This window comes from Homo sapiens, chromosome 6, assembly GCF_000001405.40.
Source record: "Homo sapiens chromosome 6, GRCh38.p14 Primary Assembly".
Taxonomy (NCBI): Eukaryota; Metazoa; Chordata; class Mammalia; order Primates; family Hominidae; genus Homo; species Homo sapiens.
In genome coordinates this window covers 161058364-161076151 of record NC_000006.12, presented here as the reverse complement: position 1 = coordinate 161076151, position 17788 = coordinate 161058364, and the positions used below count along the sequence as shown (strand labels likewise).

Here is a 17788-nt window from a genome sequence, read left to right as displayed (position 1 = left end):
CTTGGGTTTACCTTCATTTTAGTTTACATTTCAAGGCGAATAATTCTAAGTCTTTTTATTTTTGGAAGGGTATGGGAAAGGATATTGTGGCCAATTTCCTCCTTCTCTGAAGAAGGAATTTTTCCATTTGCTGTTTTCGGTGGGTTTCCAGACAAGGGTGTTAAACATAATTTGACTGCCAATTCAATTGCTGTTCTTTCCTTCCTTCCTAATAGAAACACTGATTTTGTTTGGGCTCCCCTAGTCCTCAGAACACACCTTTGCCCTGATCCTTCTAGCACATTATAGGCCATAATTTTAAAACACTGACAGTCTCTAGTTTTTTCATCTGTAAGAAGAGAGATGTGGATAATTGACAGTAATGCCAAAACTAAACTCTAAGCCTTTCTAAAACTAACCAGCTGTGAATGTTGGTAAGTCACTTAGCCTAGACTTCCACTATCACACAGGCTCACCAATGGCACAGAAACTGGCTGACCAGGAAGGCGTGGTTCACATGCCTGATGCTCCTCACCCTGCTCCCCTGCCACTACAGGATAAAGGGCCAGCAAACACAGTTTACGAAGCAAAGCATATTCTGTCTTCTTAAACTTCTGGTTTAGTTACCCATAAAGAGAGAAAAATAATAATTTGCTTGTTGCTTTTTTCCACAACTTTTCAAGATAAAGATTTTTTTGACATAAGAAATATATAGTGGGCAGGTGTGGTGGCTAATGCCTATAATCCCAGCACTTTGGGAGGCCAAGGCGGGAGGATCACTGAGCCCAGGAGTTCAAGACCAGCCTGGGCAACATAGTGAGACCCTGACTCTACAAAAAAATTTTTAAAAATTAGCCAGGTGTGGTGGCACACGCCTGTGGTCCCAGTTATTAGGGAGGCTGAGGCAGGAGGATCGTTTGAGCCCAGTAGGTTGAGACTACAGGAAGCCGTCAACACACCACTGCGTTTCAGTCTAGGTGACAGAGCAAAACTCTATCTCAAAAAAGAAAATAAATACATAGTATTTCAAAATACAGCCATTTTACACACTCAGGTCTTTTATATAGAGAATAACTTCTAACTCATTAAAATGATTTCTTGCAATATGCCAGATATAATATGTCTCATTCCCAGCCACATTCTTCCTTCTCTACTTCTACTACAGAGGCTGGAAAGCTCAACATGTGCATTCCCAGCCTCCATGGCAACAGTGAGGCCATGCAACAGGTCTGGTCAACAAAAGGCAGGGGAAATGTGCTGGGTGGGGTTGCCAGGAGAGCTCCTATTGCTCTGATAAAAAGGTCTGGACTTAGCTGGTAAGGTCTGTTTCCCCTTTTCTTCCCGCTTAGAAAGTGAGAGTGGTATCTGTAGGTGCTGCAGCCATCCTTAGGCAGGACACAGTACATGTTAAGCAAGAATGAATGCACCCCACCTACAACGATACAGTTTTATTATTTCATTAACCTGTCACATTACGTAATCATCTATGCATATACCCTAATGAATCTAACGTGTACTTACGATACATGAACACTATCAGATACTATGGAAAACAAGAGAATTTCAAGTTATAGCCCTTGGCTCATGAAGCTTTCAGTCTAATTAGGGCAACCTGAGAAAAGAGTCTCTGTTTAAATGTTAAACCATATAGTTCTAACTGTAACTGCTAAAAAGAGTTCAAAGAAGGTATAAACACAGACTAAAAGTTAAAACTGTCAGATAAAGCTTTCTAGAGAAAAATAAAACCTGAAAGTAAGCCTTAAATAGGCAGATAAAGTGGAGGAGGGGGCATTTCTAACAGGAAAGAAGAATGTGAACAGAGGTTAAAAGCACAGGGCACATTCAGTGTAAGTGAGAAGACAGGAGGTCTCTTTTTATGACAAAATAAAAATAGGTCTACTCCTGCCCAATCAAACTATTTACAAGTCCTCAAATGTGCCAGGTTCCTTAACTAACCCTTAACTCATCTTTTTAAGATTCAGCTTCCTCACTGGAAGTGCCTCCCAGACAACACAGCAAGCTTCTCTGCTGGCACCGAGCCCTCGGGGGCGTTACCATCTACCATGCCTAGTCCCACCAGACTACGAGTGTCTTGTTGATCTTCAACACTCCCAGAGCCATGCAAGGTCCCTAGCACATCCTAGGTATTATAAAAATGGCTGATGACAGACGGTTCACTAACATAGGACCATATTTTGATTCTACTTCTGGGCCATTCTGCCATAAGATGAACTATTCTACAAGTAAAGAATGAACTAGGTTAACGTTTGTCAAAAACTTCCAACTTAAAAACAATTGAGAATTTTTTAAATGTGGATTTCAGAGAAACAAATGTAATCTAATACCAGATGGAAAGACTCTGATTCAAGATCACCACCACCGCCCTCCGCAATACACACACACAAGCTATACTTTCAGGGATCATTTCTATAATTCATTACTAGAGAAGTTTATCTGAATATGTATGCCAACGCTGTTTGCAAAACAAGGAAATACAGGCTTACTTTTTTAAAAAAAGAAACAAAGAAAGAAAGAAAAATTCCTCCCCACTGCTTCTGACCATAAGCATTTTATGTAGATCCTCTTCAAAAGCGTCAATGTTGCAGTCGGGCTTCTCCAAGTCCTCCAGAACCTCCTGCAGCATGAACTGGTAGTACTGCTTCATCAGCAGGCCGCCCTTCAGGACCTCCTTACACTCTCTCACCAGCTGCAAAACAACACACACAGGTTCCAGCAGCCATAAACTCCAACCAGACGATCCGTGTTTTATATCTTCCTACTTAAATCTTCAAAAAACTCAGAGGGAACCTTGCCTCTAAAAAACCTACAATAGTTTCTAGATTCTTGATCAGTTCATTTTATGTAAATACCTTAGTAGTCTCAATTGAGAAGCAACAAAACAGTGAAAATAAAAGAATTTAATACTACAGCATGGATACACAGAGAAAATACCATATAGGCAATTACTGCTTTGCTAAAATAAATTCTCTTAACAACAAACTTATATAGAAAGTAAATCCCATAGAATAAAATCAATTTTTCTACTAATTTACATTACAAGAAATGTGAGAAAGAAAAACCTCCTAATGATCAAAAACATAATAAAGATTCAAAGGTACTTTTTACCACAAAGCAGGTGGCCTTCGCAATAATTTAGCATAGTTTACCTACTGTGATTTGTGGCCCAGTCTACCATCAAATAATGACCACCAAAACCAACCAACCGACTTAATATTATGTGATGGAATTAGATAAAAATCAACAGAAAAAAACAAAACAAAAAATGGGCAAATTTGCAATATATAGATCTAATAGGTAATAACCTGCCAAACGTGGGCAGAAGGTTGAAATGAGACAATCTGGAAAGCCCTCCCCATTAATAAAAAGACTGAGACACAATGTACGCAAATTCTAATAAACAGGGACTGTAATATGAGATCACACAGTCACATTCGTTTTCATACATGTTAGCCAAACCTTCACTGCCGCTAATGGAAAGGTAAACTGATACAAACTTTCTAGAGTCTAAAAATGTATGACTCATCTATATACTATTATGTTTTACACTCGAGAAATAATCAGAGATCTAAACTAAGATTTCTATACAAGCATATTTATCACAATGTTACTTAAATCGATGATTAACCAAATAAATTGTGATGTGCCTATACAGTAGAATACTGTTGCAGCCATTTAAATTCTTGCTTTTGAAAAATACTTACAGGGAAAAAACTCACACACACACATACTTACTTGTATGTGTAGGAAGTTATGTATGTGCAGGAAAAACAAATGGATAGAAATACACCAAAATGTCATAGCAGTTATCTCTGAATGTCAGAATAACAGGGTTTTTACAATTATTTTTGATTTTGATTTTTTATCTTTTTTTGTACTTTTCTAAATTTCTAAAATAAACATGGATTGCTTTTATTGACAGAAGTCTCTCCCAGAAATGTTTTAAAGTAATTATCCACTGTAAGAGAGCTATGGCTACAGTTAAATCTAACAAAAAGTGTTCTGTTCAGATTATATAATTATCAATTTCTCTATTAAAGATGTCACTTAGGTGCTTGTAACTGATCTTTGAATGCATTTAAACCAAAATTTCTGCTTTCTTTCTACTCTAGCAGTGCTACATTAATCTAAGTATTGTTTTTATTTTTCAAAGTATTACAACATACATTACTATTTAGTCCTCACAATAGCCCCATCAACAAAAGATAAACTCCACCTTGCTTTACCAGGCTATATTTCTGAAGTATTTCTTTCATAAAGAAGGAAGCTGAGAAGTATTTTCCCAAAATGTCCTAGATAACCACTGCGATTATGAGGATGAGTTAAAAGCAAGGCCAAAGTGGACAGCACGACAATAACCAGAAACAAGAGGGTGAGAAGGAAGGGGAGCTAACATGGAAACAGAGCTCTGGCGGTGCTGGGTATGAACCAAAGGGATGGAAATGAGATGCAGGGGACAATCTCCAAATGACTTTCATTAGTCATTCTATTCTACTCCTAATTAAACAAACAAATCCTATTTTGTACCTACTGTATGACCTGTATTCACCTGCCTTTCCTCAATCTGCACTGCTCACCTATGCTTTGTCTTACCATTCACAGAGCCGGGTAGCTCTTAGCCCTCCAATCCCTATGGGATAGACACGTACAGTCTACAAAAAACATACCAACCTTTCTTCTTTTGGGGACAAGGTCTGGAAATTTTTACTTTATATGGTGAATATCAATATGTTAATATCATAAATAATAAATACAGACCCTCTTCAGCACTCACTCTGCTGGATACAACTGCTTCCACCCATTCCGCTGCTGCTCCTGGGATATCAAACATCCGTAAGATCCCACCCAGAATGAACAACAACGAAGAAATCATAAGCTGTCACTACTGTTTAAACCATACCACTGCTTAAGCAAGCAGAAAGTCCAAACCCCTCCCCATGCCTATTCTAGACATTTATCTGTTTACATGTACTTCAAATAGAAAAAATAAATAAATTTAAGAATCTTATACTCTACCTCTTATGAATGAATTTTAAATTTTAGTCTTCAAAGACTGAAACTTTAAAATACTTAGAACAAGGAAGTGGATGACAGAAAGGATGAACCACAATCTTACCTTTGAGGACCGCATATAAAGAACATTTTTAATTACCCTAAAATATACAGCTTAAAACCATGGACAAACAGTCATTTTTCACTATTTGCGACAATTAAGAAAAAAAAAGGAACTCTCAAAATAAAAATGATAAGCCTGTAGGATAATATAATAATTGCTAAATATTTTAAAGAGTCTTTGAAGCAAACCTGCTTAATACTCAAGAGAGATGGTTCTCCAGCAGGTCTCTGCTCCAATCTTAACTTCAGACACTCATGTATGACATTCAGAAGGACTCGGCAGAGAACTAGGAAGGCAGGTTCGAATGAAGGTAAATCCATGGCCTTCAGCTCCTCCCACGACACAGCACTGCATTTCTCCTCAGATGAAGGTGGTGTCCTTGACAACTGCACATAATCTGAACCCCACATGGGATCTGGAAATTCAGAAAACTATAACAAAAATTCAACAGGCACAGATTAAAAGAGCATACGAGACAACGTTCTACGGTTGTGGTTATAAACTCTTATTCTCTACAATGTGCTAACAAATCTACAAAAATTCTAATTTTACAGGGAAAAGAATATTTAATAATTTAATGAATTTAATAACTTCAACATTTTCAACATAGATCCAAAAAGTTCTAAGAATGCTGGAAACCATAATGAGAACCAAAACCAAATTGCAATACTTTGATCAAAGAAGTATATTAGAAAAAGAATCAGGTTCATCTTTAACATTTTTGCCTCACACTTAAAATGATCAGAACACTTTATTTTTCAGGTTATATACAGTACTATCGACAACTATCTCTAGACTGGGAAAAAAACCAGAGAATTACTGAAATTAGAGAAAACATTACAAAATCAAATAACAGCTCATCCTAAGTAGCCATTTATGAAAACATAAAAACTAATCAGTTCCACTAATTCTTCTGTCCATTTGTTCCCCTGAGCTGTAATGAACGATGCTGACAGAAAAATTAAAAAATCGTTAAGATCAACCTGGTTGGCATGACTCAGTTATCCGTTTTGTGATGCTTCCCGGGAACCCTAGTGTTGCGTTGTCCGCCCCCACCCCCGTTCTTTTAGCTGTTCCTCTCAAATTCCTTACACCTTTCCCCATAAAGTAGGGGATCTGGAATGTTGGGAGCACTCTCTCTGCTCCTGGTCACTCCTCCCTGGCTCCCCAAGGCCCCTGCTTCTCCTCCCTTTGGTCCTCACCCACCTTCTCCCTGCTCCATGGGAGCTATTTCTCCCCTCCCCATCATTCCTCACCAGAACCCCTACTCCCTGCCATCAGAGTATTTCACACTCCACCATAACTTGGGGACAGAACTTCCTGAGGGCAAGGACTTTCACTTCCTTACCACTATACTAAAAGGACCGTCCCCACGCCTGGCACTGATTACAGCAGACAGTAATTGTTGCTGCATTCATGAATGATACTCTCATCTGACACTTCCAAGTGCTGCCCCCGACCTGCTCATCTACCAAATATGGCCCAAACAACTTGAGCTGCTATGGAAGACCCTCCATGACCTAGTCTCACCCTCCAGTGCTGCCTTCTCTCCTGCCTCCACGTGACACTCTCAACCAACCCTCACACACGTGTGCCATCACCAGCCTCGCTGCCCATGCTGCCTCCCCACCTGGAAATGCTCGCCTCTTTATTTTCCACTTCAAAATCCTTAGTTTTCAAGGTTCACCTCATGATACCTTTCCAGTGACTTTCTTCTCGCCCCCAACAGCATGCCACTAAAATACTCTAAACCCTGAGTTTACCTTGACTTTCATGATAGAGACGGTGTGGCTTAATGAGAAAACAACCAATGTCCAAAAATCAGAAAAGCTGGTTTTGAGTCAATTAGCGATGTGATTCTGGAAGCACTGAGTAGTCTCTCAGGGTTGATTTCTTCATTTTAAAAATAGAGCCATCAACTACCTCTTAACAAGATTAAACAGCATGCTGTACACATGGGAAAAACGCTCTAAAAACATACTACATATAACATTAGTAAAATCACTACTGTTAACATGTTGGTCTCTCCTTCTGGACCATTAGTTGCTTTACAGCAAATAGAAGAAGCCATATCTTAAGTCAGGTTTGCATAAACCCCCACATCTAGAACTGTCAGAGGACTCAAGGAATCACAAAGAGCCTCAGCTGCAGAGTGGACTAATTTTTACGGCTATTATCTTCTTCAAGATGATTCCCTGTTTCTGTGTTTTCCCATTTCCAACGGACAGCTTGGCTTTCACTAATTAATGCTCATTCATGGCCTTCCACACTTTTCTTTCCTTGAACCATACATGCAGACGTTTAACATGCTTTATCAGTTCTACTAAATACTCCTTAAATCCACCTTCTCCTCTACCCTCTGCCTTAACTCACAGTGGATCTTCAACTGCTTTTCTGATTACAACGCGTCAATCCACTGACCTCTCAATAACCCACAAAGTGATTTTGTTCCAAGGCTTGTCTTAGCCCTTCTAATTTAAAATGCAATGCTTCACTGACAGCCCTAAGTGTCAGACACTTTTATTTAGCCTAATGGCCAGGTCTCTGCATAGATCTTGATCCTTATCTCCTGCCACCACCTTCTTCTCCTTTACCCATAACAAACCTGCCTCTGTGCTTTTGCACAAATTAATCCCTTTTATTATCAGAAGTTCTGATCTGCAGACAGTGTTCTGTCCCTGGTGAACTCTTCCTCTCATTAGGAAGAAGCCCAGATGCCACCCTCCTCTATGAAGTTTTCTGTGATTGCCTCAAATAACTCATTTAATCTCTCCCTTTTCTCACAGTATTTGTGCCTTGCAAATGCTTCCTCTGTTGTATTTATCATGCTTTACTGTAATGCATTATTTTATCTATTTACCCATTAGACCATCAGTTCCATGAAAAAGATTGTTTATCTCCAGTTAACTATGGGTCTCTAAAACTTAGCTCGGTACTTGCCACATAATAGATGCTTATGTTTGATGAATAAATTAATAGGTAAATACTCCTATAAAAGTGCCAGTGTTTCTTCTTCCCCAGCTATTAACAATCTAACACTAAAGAATGGAACATATGATGTCATCAACCTTGTTAACAAGCTCTTAGTTCTCAAATTCCCTATTGTACTCCTAATGCCAACAGTAATTATGTTAGTGACAGATTGACAAGGTCTACAGTTTTAAAAGTGGATGTTTTGATTTTCAAAAAGAATAACATATACTTGGCATAACTGAGATACACTTAATGACAGAAACGAGGATATGCCTTCTTCTTAGTATAAAATTACCATCAAGATTAAACGTCTGAAAGGAAAAAATTCTTGTCTCTTAAAACACAGACGTTTAGTCTATTATAACCTGACATCAAACAATGTTAGTATATAACCACTAAAATATAAAGTTGGAAGAACACACCGTTTCCACGTAGTAATCTGCATTAGCACTAAGGAAAACAAGATTAATTTATCCTTCTACATTTAATACATACTTTTGCACTTAAATTAGTACACACCTGGGTTTCCCTAACAGGCAAGAATTTCTAAAATAACCACTAAAATAATTACTTGTAATAAATGTGGTCAGGGTTGTGAAAGGAAAACAAATCTTGGAGCCCCCAAATCATTAAGCTAAAGGGAAAAGTCAAGCTGGGAACTGCTTAGGGTAAACCTGCCTCCCATCCTGTTCCCTCTGCTCACTGAGATCGATGCATAAGGAAGCTAATCAGAAATTCAAAAAAATGTAACGTTTTGTCTCTTACCTACCTGTGACCTGCAAGCCCCATCCCTGCTTCGAGTTGTCCTGTCTTTCTGGATGGAACCAATGTACATCTTACATATATTGATTGATGTCTCATGTCTCCCTAAAATGTATAAAACCAAGCTGTGCCCTGACCACCTTGGGCACACATAGTCAGGACGTCCTGAGGCTGTGTCACAGGCGCACACATCCTTGACCTTGGCAAAACAAACTTTCTAAATTAACAGACCTGTCTCAGATATTCAGGGTTAACAGCTTAAGGTATGTGTAAGTAAAGGCTTTAGACGCTGTAAATGCTTCCCTCCACCGCCTCTGGTATAATGATATCAGAAAACAATGTTTATATAAAGCTCTATAAAATTCACCAAACTTTCTAAGATAAAATTCTAAATAATTCTTTCAGCATTCCAAACAGTCCCAGCCTGCTGACTTTGTTTACGGGCTCAATGAGCCAAAGGCACAATCCCTAGTTCTCAAAAAAGTGCAAGACCACATTGCCTGGGAGAGCCAACAGCCAGACCTCCACAGTCACAGAGGAACCCCCTTCCTGCTGGAGGAGCTTGGTATGTCAATACATGTCCAGACAGAGAGGAGCAGATGTTTCAAAAATTCAGCACTTCAGAGGAAACAGCAATTTCCTTAAGAGGAGACTAAAGGGAAGAATCAGAACAGCTGGGCTCAATTAATACCGATTTAATGTAGAAAACAGGAGAGAACAATAAAAATACTCTAATACGAGATCTCATTAAAGTCCTCTGGAAAATAATAAATTAAGACTTCTGAAATAAACTCAAGAAGACAGTGAAAATAGAATGAACACTGCTAAAACTGATTTAATAATCTAGAATTAACTGCAGAAATTATTACTATAACTCAGAGCAAAAAAAAAAAGAAAAGATGAAATGGAAACTTTGAGTAAAAACAAGAGACATGGAAGTCAGATCTAGCGGCTCTAACGTAAGATCAGAGTTCCATAAAGAACAAAAGGAAAAGGGGAGAAAAGCATTTGGCATAGTCAAAACACCACTAAGATGTAAAGCAGCAGCAGCCTCTGAATAGGGATGATCTCAAAGTACAATTCACTTACCTTCTCTAAAAAACTATTCAAAGTATGGTTATGGTAGAGTCTAGTTAAATGACAACTAGACTGGAATAAAAAAATCACAAGATAGGGAAAGAAAAATAGCAAACAAAGAGAAAAGCCATAAATTTAACAAAACTTATATAGGTTGCGCATCCCTAATCCAAAAACCCAAAATCTGAAATGCTCCAAAATCCAAAACTTTTTGAGCACTGACATGTTGGATTTGGGATGCTCAACTGGTATCCATTCTGCAAATATTCTTTTTTTTTTTTTTTTTTTTGAGACGGAGTCTTGCTCTTTTGCCCAGGCTGGAGTGCAGTGGCGCGATCTCGGCTCACTGCAAGCTCCGCCTCCCGGGTTCACGCCATTCTCCTGCCTCAGCCTCCCGAGTAGCTGGGACTACAGGCTCCCGCCACCACGCCAGACTAATTTTTTGTATTTTTAGTAGAGACGGGGTTTCACTGTGTTAGCCAGGATGGTCTTGATCTCCTGATCTCATGATCCACCCGCCTTGGCCTCCCAAAGTGCTGGGATTACAGGCGTAAGCCACCGTGCCCAGCCCACAAATATTCTAAAATCCGAAGAAAGCTGAAGTCTAAAACACTTCTGGTCCCAAGCATATCGGATAAGGGATTTTCAATCTGTATAGGCAGATACAACTATATGATGATAATTTGGTTACTGACTACAATTCGAGTTCTAGAATGAAATATTAAAAACACAATTTTAAGTACACTATAAAGAAAAGGCCTGGATCTTGCATTCCAAATTATTACAATAAAACCAGTGAGCGGAGAAAGGGACAGTGCAGTGCAGGAACACATATCTGTTATCATCTTATTCCAGTGAAGAGCACAGCATCAAACACAGTGTAAAACCCCAGATCAAGCCTAGCCAAACTAGGAAGATTCAATAATATAAGGACATGGATAAAATGCATAGTAAATTCTCATAATTTTATGTTGCCTTGGTATGCACTTTGAATCTAAGTGGAACCTTCACATAGCAGAAGCAGGGCTCTGTCACCCTTGACACAGGGTGCAGTTCTACACTGCCTCCCAGTTCCTCAATGTGGCTGATCCAGATACCTGCCTTATACAACTTCCTCCTAGTGACCACCTCCCTATGGACAGCTACACACAGACTGGTTCACTGGCCCTGACCCTCATACCTCTCATGGACAGTGCAGACACAGCACTGTGACTACCTCTGTAACAGCGTGACCTCCTGGAATTTGTGCCTGCTTGCTTTAAATCCACCAATTAAACCTTCCTGAGGGAAACCTGTTTGGACAATACCTTGGACTCCACGAAGGCATTGGCCCATGGGTCCCTCCCTCTCTCCCTGTCTGCACTTCCTGACCTCTGCATGAGCGGCCTGTAGGCGTGCCGTGTACCCTCCAGAACCTGCAAGTAATAAAATCTTTATTTCCATCTTGTGTCTCTTCTAATCATTGAAAGGGTGCTCTCCATCTTAGAGATTCTATATTAAGACCATGCAATGTAATTACAATAATAATTCTGATGTCATGTTGTGTGGATTTGACAAATCCATAATAAAGCCCATGTGGAAGAAAGTAATGTGCAAAAATAAAAACAGCACAGAAACTTCTGAAAAGAAACAATGGGCAACACTGTCCTACAAGATACCAAACCTTACTAATAAGCCTACTCTATTTAAAATAGAATAAGCCTGCACAGTAATAAACAGATCAGAACACAGAAACATACCCAATTATCTAGAATTTAATGTAAAAAAAAAAAGGCAGCAGTTTAAGAAGTTGGAAAATAATGGGTTATCTAATGTATGTTATAAGCAATTAACAGAAAAATAATGACATGCTTACCTCATACTATACCTCACAGTATCACAAGTATTCATTTCTAAAATTATGCAGCTGTTTTAGAAATTCTTACTGGTTATTATGGGAAATCAAAGTATGTATTAAACACAAAAATACATGTTGAACAATATATTTGGAAAAAGAAATTCCCAATGTAGTAAAATCTAAAGATAGAGCTCTGCATTAGGTTAAACTATATAAAAATTCCCACTTTCGTTCATTGAAAATGGTCAAATACTGGCAATTTAGTACAGGTCAAACTGAAAAAAAGAATTCTGGGAAAAAGTGGTGGCAACAGGGTTTCAATTTCCCTTCAACGCCCTCTCATAAAAATGGAGCAATGAGGACAGCAAAACCAAAACTCTGTGAGACAAACCTCCAACAAAACTAGATGAAAAGGGGTGGTCATGACTCCCCAAAGAGAAGAGGTGGTGGGAAAACCATGAACAGTTCCAAGAGCCATGTGGTATCAGCATTAGCGGAGGGAAGCAGAGGAAATTAACAGGGTGTCTGAAGGGCGTAAAGAGGCAATTCCCAAGTCATGATGAGTGCTCTATGAAAAGCTCACAGAGTCTACAGAGAACTTCTGTGAAATTAGGAATGATTTTGGCACTATTCATGAGTGAAGGCAAGGGGTTGGCAGTAAGGTCTGAAAGGGCTGGAGTGGTTTAGGCCCCATAATATCTTAAAACTAGTACCCCAAATTCCCTTCCAGGAATTCTCGGCTCCACATCGAGGAAAAAAAGTGAAATCCAACTCCCCAGTAAAGGACAACAGGAGGAAAGAGAAGAGGAGATCGAGAACATGGGAAGAAGAACAGTCCACAGACCTCAAACAATAACAGAGAAGATGGTTTGAAACTTGAGAAGAAGGTACTCAGAGCCCCAATCCCAAACACTTTCCTAACTCCCTCTCTCCTTTAAGTTCATGGAAACAAGTATCATGTTTAAAAATAAGCAACAGAAAAGAACTGTAGTAGAATCTAGCACAAGGTTACCATAAGCAGAGAGAGAAAAAGGAGAATAACCCTCCAGACAGTGAGCGCTTGCCAGAAAGATATGTCCACTAAGCAGATGAGAATTGTAGACCGATTTCTGAAATAAACTAAAAGAAATTAAGAAAATCATAAAAAATATAAAATAATGACAAAAATTAGAATTAGAAAAAAAACCTCAGTGATAGAACTCAGAATTTAATTTTTTAATCAAAAATCAAATCAATTTTACGTCCCAAATCAAAAACAAACTAGAAGGCACATAAGAGCAAATAAACAGAACAGATAATGCCTTCACTGAAATGAGGTCAACAAAAGAAAACTTTATAACTCAAAAAGAAACTAAGAAAAAGAAAAGATCTGAAATGAAATGACAGAGAAGACAGGCAAAGTAGATCCAAAATATATAAAGAGCAGTTCCCAAAGAGAACTGAGTCAGTGAAGCAAAAATGTGAAACTGTAAGTTAAGAAACTCACTAGAAATTTAAAAAACAGACTGACAAACAAACAAACTAAACTATTTATTCAAAGTGTACACCATGTATCTGAAAATATCAAATTGGAAAAACCAACACTGTAAAACTAGTAGAGTTTAAAGAAAAAAATCCTTTAGGTATTCAGCAAACAAACAAAGGTCTTGTAAATGGAAACAAAAAATCACATTGTCATCAGACCATTCAACATCAATGCTTCCTGTCAAAAGAATGAATAACAAATTTATCCAAGGAAAGAAAATATAAACCAAAGATTTTATGGACAGCCAAACAAACTTCCAAGTATAAATGTTGCAAACTGTTAGAAACATGGCAGAACTCAGGAAATGCTGTCCTCCTGAGCCCTTACTCAGAAATCTACTAAAGAACAGGTGTCACTCAACCAGAATGACTCAAGAGACTGGGATATAATAATTAAAAATGAGCCTTTAAACAAAATCTGAAACTTCTATCTACATGTCTATTATAAATATTTTATCTATCTACACACACACAACCCTGAAGAACTGAGACTAAATGACAGCTATGGGGGAGAAAGTACTGTCATACACGGCTGTATGATTGATAATACAGATATACCACACCACCACCATCTGGGGGAAAAGAAAGGGCATATGAAATAACTTGGCATTTCACTGGCAGTAAAAGAAAATTACTTCAAATGAAACTTTAGAAATAAAAGGATAATTCCAATATAGCTCAAAGTTGGGAACAAGCAGATTAAAAAATTGAAGAGGGGATATTAAGGGTGTTATGTAAAGATATTAATACAAAGACATCTTGGGGGAAATAAACTCATCTTAAACATTAAAAGTAAATAAATAAACAAAACTACATACTTCCAAAAAGGTTACACTAAAAAACAGAAGTATAAAACATAAAATGTTTTAAAAGATTAACTATCCCTGTCAGAGAAGCTAAACTTCTTTGAGAATACATTTAGATTTTCTTGTAAAACCAAGTACTTCACATAATTCTTATAAAAACAAATTAAAAACCAATACCTAAAAATAAAATTTTAAGAAATCTATGAATAGATCAACAAAACGTGGTATAGCCATACAATGGAATATTATTCAGTCATAAAAAGGAATGAAGCGCCAATACATACCACAGCAAGGATGAACCTTGAAAACATTATGCAAATGAAAGAAGCCAGTCTCAAAAGACCACATACCATATGACCACATTTATATGGCTAGGCAAATATTAAGAGACAGAAAGTAGATTAGCGGTTGCCTAGAGATAGGGCTAGTGAGCACAGGAATTGTGGAGGTGACAGCTAAAGGGTACAGGACTTCTTTTAGGGGCAATGAAAATGTTCCAAAGTTACACAGTGAGGATGGTTGCAGTGGTGATGGTTGCACAACTCCAAATACAGAGAACCACTGAACACTTTAAATGGTGAATTTTATGCTAAGTGAATTATATCTCAATAAAGCTATTATTTTGGAAATAAAGTAGAAAAAAGAATCTAACTGTATATCTAGTCAGTGGCAGAGCCACGAGAAGAAATGTTCCAAAAGTCTTTAAAATGCAGTTATCTGATGTTACATCCACAGAGGGTTATAACCTAAGGATGGTCAAAAACAAAACTTGAACTGTTTTCCAGTAATCACACTGAGATGATTGTCTATTTTGGAATATAGTCAGTATCTGATATTCTGTCACACCTGGTATCACAGAACATTGGGCTTCTCAATAAAAAAAGAAAGGTGGTGATATATGGATTAAGTCAGAAGAGATTAAGCAAAATTCTCAAATCCTGAATTTGAATCAGAACTATCAGAAAGGACATGTGATGCATTTTGTGTATGTGTTTTCATCTGCCCACTAAACAGTAAAACAATGACCAGCCACAATTTCTGCTGCAATGAACAATGCTGGGGTACAGACAGTGGTCTTGGAATATACCATTTCTCAATAAAGGGAACTAGGGTTCCTTAAAAATGTACCTGATTCTCAGTGGCCGGGCGCGGTGGCTCGTGCCTGTAATCTCAGCACTCTGGGAGGCCGAGGCCGGCAGATCACTTGAGGTCAGAGTTTGAGACCGGGCTGGCCAACATGGTGTAAACCCGTCTCTACTAAAAATACAAAAAATTACCTGGGCGTGGTGGCGCATGCCTGTAATCCCAGCTACTCAGGAGGCTGAGGCACGAGAACCACTTGAGCCAGGGAGACACAGGTTGCAGTGAGCCAAGATCACGCCACTGCACTCTAGCCTGGGCAAAAGAGTGACACTCCTTCTCAAAAAAAAAAAAAAAAAAAGAAAAAGAAAACAAAACATATCTGACTCTCAACCTGGAACAGATATACAATGTCAGCCTAGGATAGCCAGTTACACTAAATAACATGGAAGCTATCAAAGGACTGTGAAAAAAGGAGTCAAGCCAATTGAATATGTTCCCATTGTCCAAAGATGGGACGTGAACATTAATTACAATAATTACTTCAATACATTAATGACATCCATGGATTGAAACATACCAAATATGTTTAAATTCATGAGTTCAAAATCATACTAATAACACTAATTAGTCATCAATAAACCACATCATTATTTTAAAAAATAGTAAATAAAAGGTAAAGAATCAAGCACATTAATCTTGCCATTTGTGTCAACTATTCCACTAAGTAACCATATAATAGGTGAGGAAAAGTTTATCCTTATAGCAATATCTAATAAATGAAATGAATAATAAAGAAGCTAATAAATGAAGAAGAAATGAGAGAATTAGAATATCCTCACTTTTCAGCCCTTAATGTATTAAGGAATCTAGGCAATGTTCATCAACTACTACTAATGGCACAAATAGTCAGATATGTGTGTGTCCTGGGAAAGTAGTGTTAATACAACCAACCAATTAAAAAATCCTGAATTTGATCAAGCCACTCTATTTTACAGCCAATTCACAGAGAAGACACAGAAAATAGAAACATGTGGGGCAACTGGGATACAATCATAAAAATTCAGACCCTACAGGATAAATGACCCTGCTTCTTCATATATGGCAAAAAAAAAAAGGCAGGGGGAATCTACAGACTAAAACACTTTAGAAATATAATGAACAATGATAACACATGGACATTATTTGCAAACTGATTCAAAGTGTAAAAAGAAAACCATGACAATTATAAAATTTTAAAATAATCTCTGAGTACAAATAAAATAAGGTAGTCATAAAATAACAACAGACATGACTATATAAAAATGTGAAATTTCTATACAGTGTTAAGTATCCTAAACAAGTTAAAAGGCAAATTGAAAGAAGTATTTACAACCATCATAGAAAAATGAATAAAATTCATAAATAGTTCCAACAGATCAATAATAGAAAGGCAGCCTAACAGAAAATGAGCAAAATAAATAAGCAAACGAAAAGACATGCAAATGGCCAATAAACATGAAAAACAGGCTCAGTGTCACTAGAAATGAAGAGAAAGATTTAGGTCGGGTGCCAGTGGCTCACGCCTGTAATCCCAGTACTTTGGGAGACCAAGGCAGGCAGATCACTTGAGGCCAGGAGTTCGAGACCAGCCTGGCCAACATAATGAAACCCCATCTCTACTAAAAATACAAAAAATTAGCCAGGTGTGGTTGCACACGCCTGTGATCCCAGCTACTCAGGAGGCTGAGGCATGAGAATCGCTGGAACTTGGGAGGTGGAGGCTGCCATAAGCCGAGACTGTGCCACTGTACTCCAGCCTGGGCAACAGTGTGAGGCTCTGACTTAAAAAAAAAAATCAATCAATCAATGAAATAACATTTTTTGCTGATCATGGTTATAAAAATGAGGAAAAATCAAATTTCTCCTGCACTGTTTTAAGTATAAATTAGTATAGTCTTTTTGGAGAGCAATTTGGCAATACATATCAAAGATGTGAATGTGCATATACCCCATGACCTAACAATTCCATTTCAATTAAGCATTCTTACAAAAACAACAGAATAAGTTCATAAAGGGGTGTGTACAAGAATGTCTGTGGCTACATTGTTTACACAAGCAAAAAAATTACATTTCCATCAAGAGTGAAATAATTAAATAAGTTATGGTACATTCATAGAATGGAATATCATGTAGTTGTTAAATGGAATTTAACAACGAGAGCTATATATATATATATATATCTACAAGGACAGATCCAAAGTAGACAACACGGGGGAAACCCTTCAAGTTGTAGTAGGATTATGTATAGCATTATCACATTTGTTGTAAAAAATTACATGTGTTACATAACAAAGACATAATTTATAGAATCACAAAAAACTCTAGAAAATATAAACCAGATGATAATTACTCTGAGCAGTGACAGAGGACAGGGACTTCAAAAATATACTCCAATAAATAAAACAAAAGCATACTGTTTTTTAAAAAAGTGTTAGATACAAATAGCCTTTACATTACCCTTCAAAAGTCAGTTTCTGTGATTCTATACTGGGATCCTATCACAAACTGCAATTTCTACACAGGCCCAGTAAGTCATGTAAACAGGTGTACTTGGGTGGCCATAAGACAAATGAT

General features: G+C 37.7%; 1 protein-coding gene across 7 annotated transcripts in view; it reads right to left on the bottom strand.

The window, feature by feature from the left end:
- Positions 1-17788, bottom strand: part of MAP3K4 (mitogen-activated protein kinase kinase kinase 4) — a 125612-nt gene that overhangs the window by 41229 nt on the left and 66595 nt on the right. For 6 of the 7 annotated variants that reach the window (NR_120425.2, NM_005922.4, NM_006724.4 and 3 more), the window contains exons 4-5: positions 5302-5544; positions 2540-2686 (exon numbers count right to left, since the gene is read on the bottom strand). Coding sequence is in view for 6 of the 7 variants with exons in the window: in NM_005922.4 (NP_005913.3) it covers positions 2540-2686; positions 5302-5544 (390 nt within the window). In the remaining variant the exon portion in view is untranslated. Of the gene's footprint in view, positions 1-2539; positions 2687-5301; positions 5545-8855; positions 8954-17788 lie in introns of all 7 variants that reach the window. The other variant, NM_001291958.2, reaches the window with a different exon arrangement.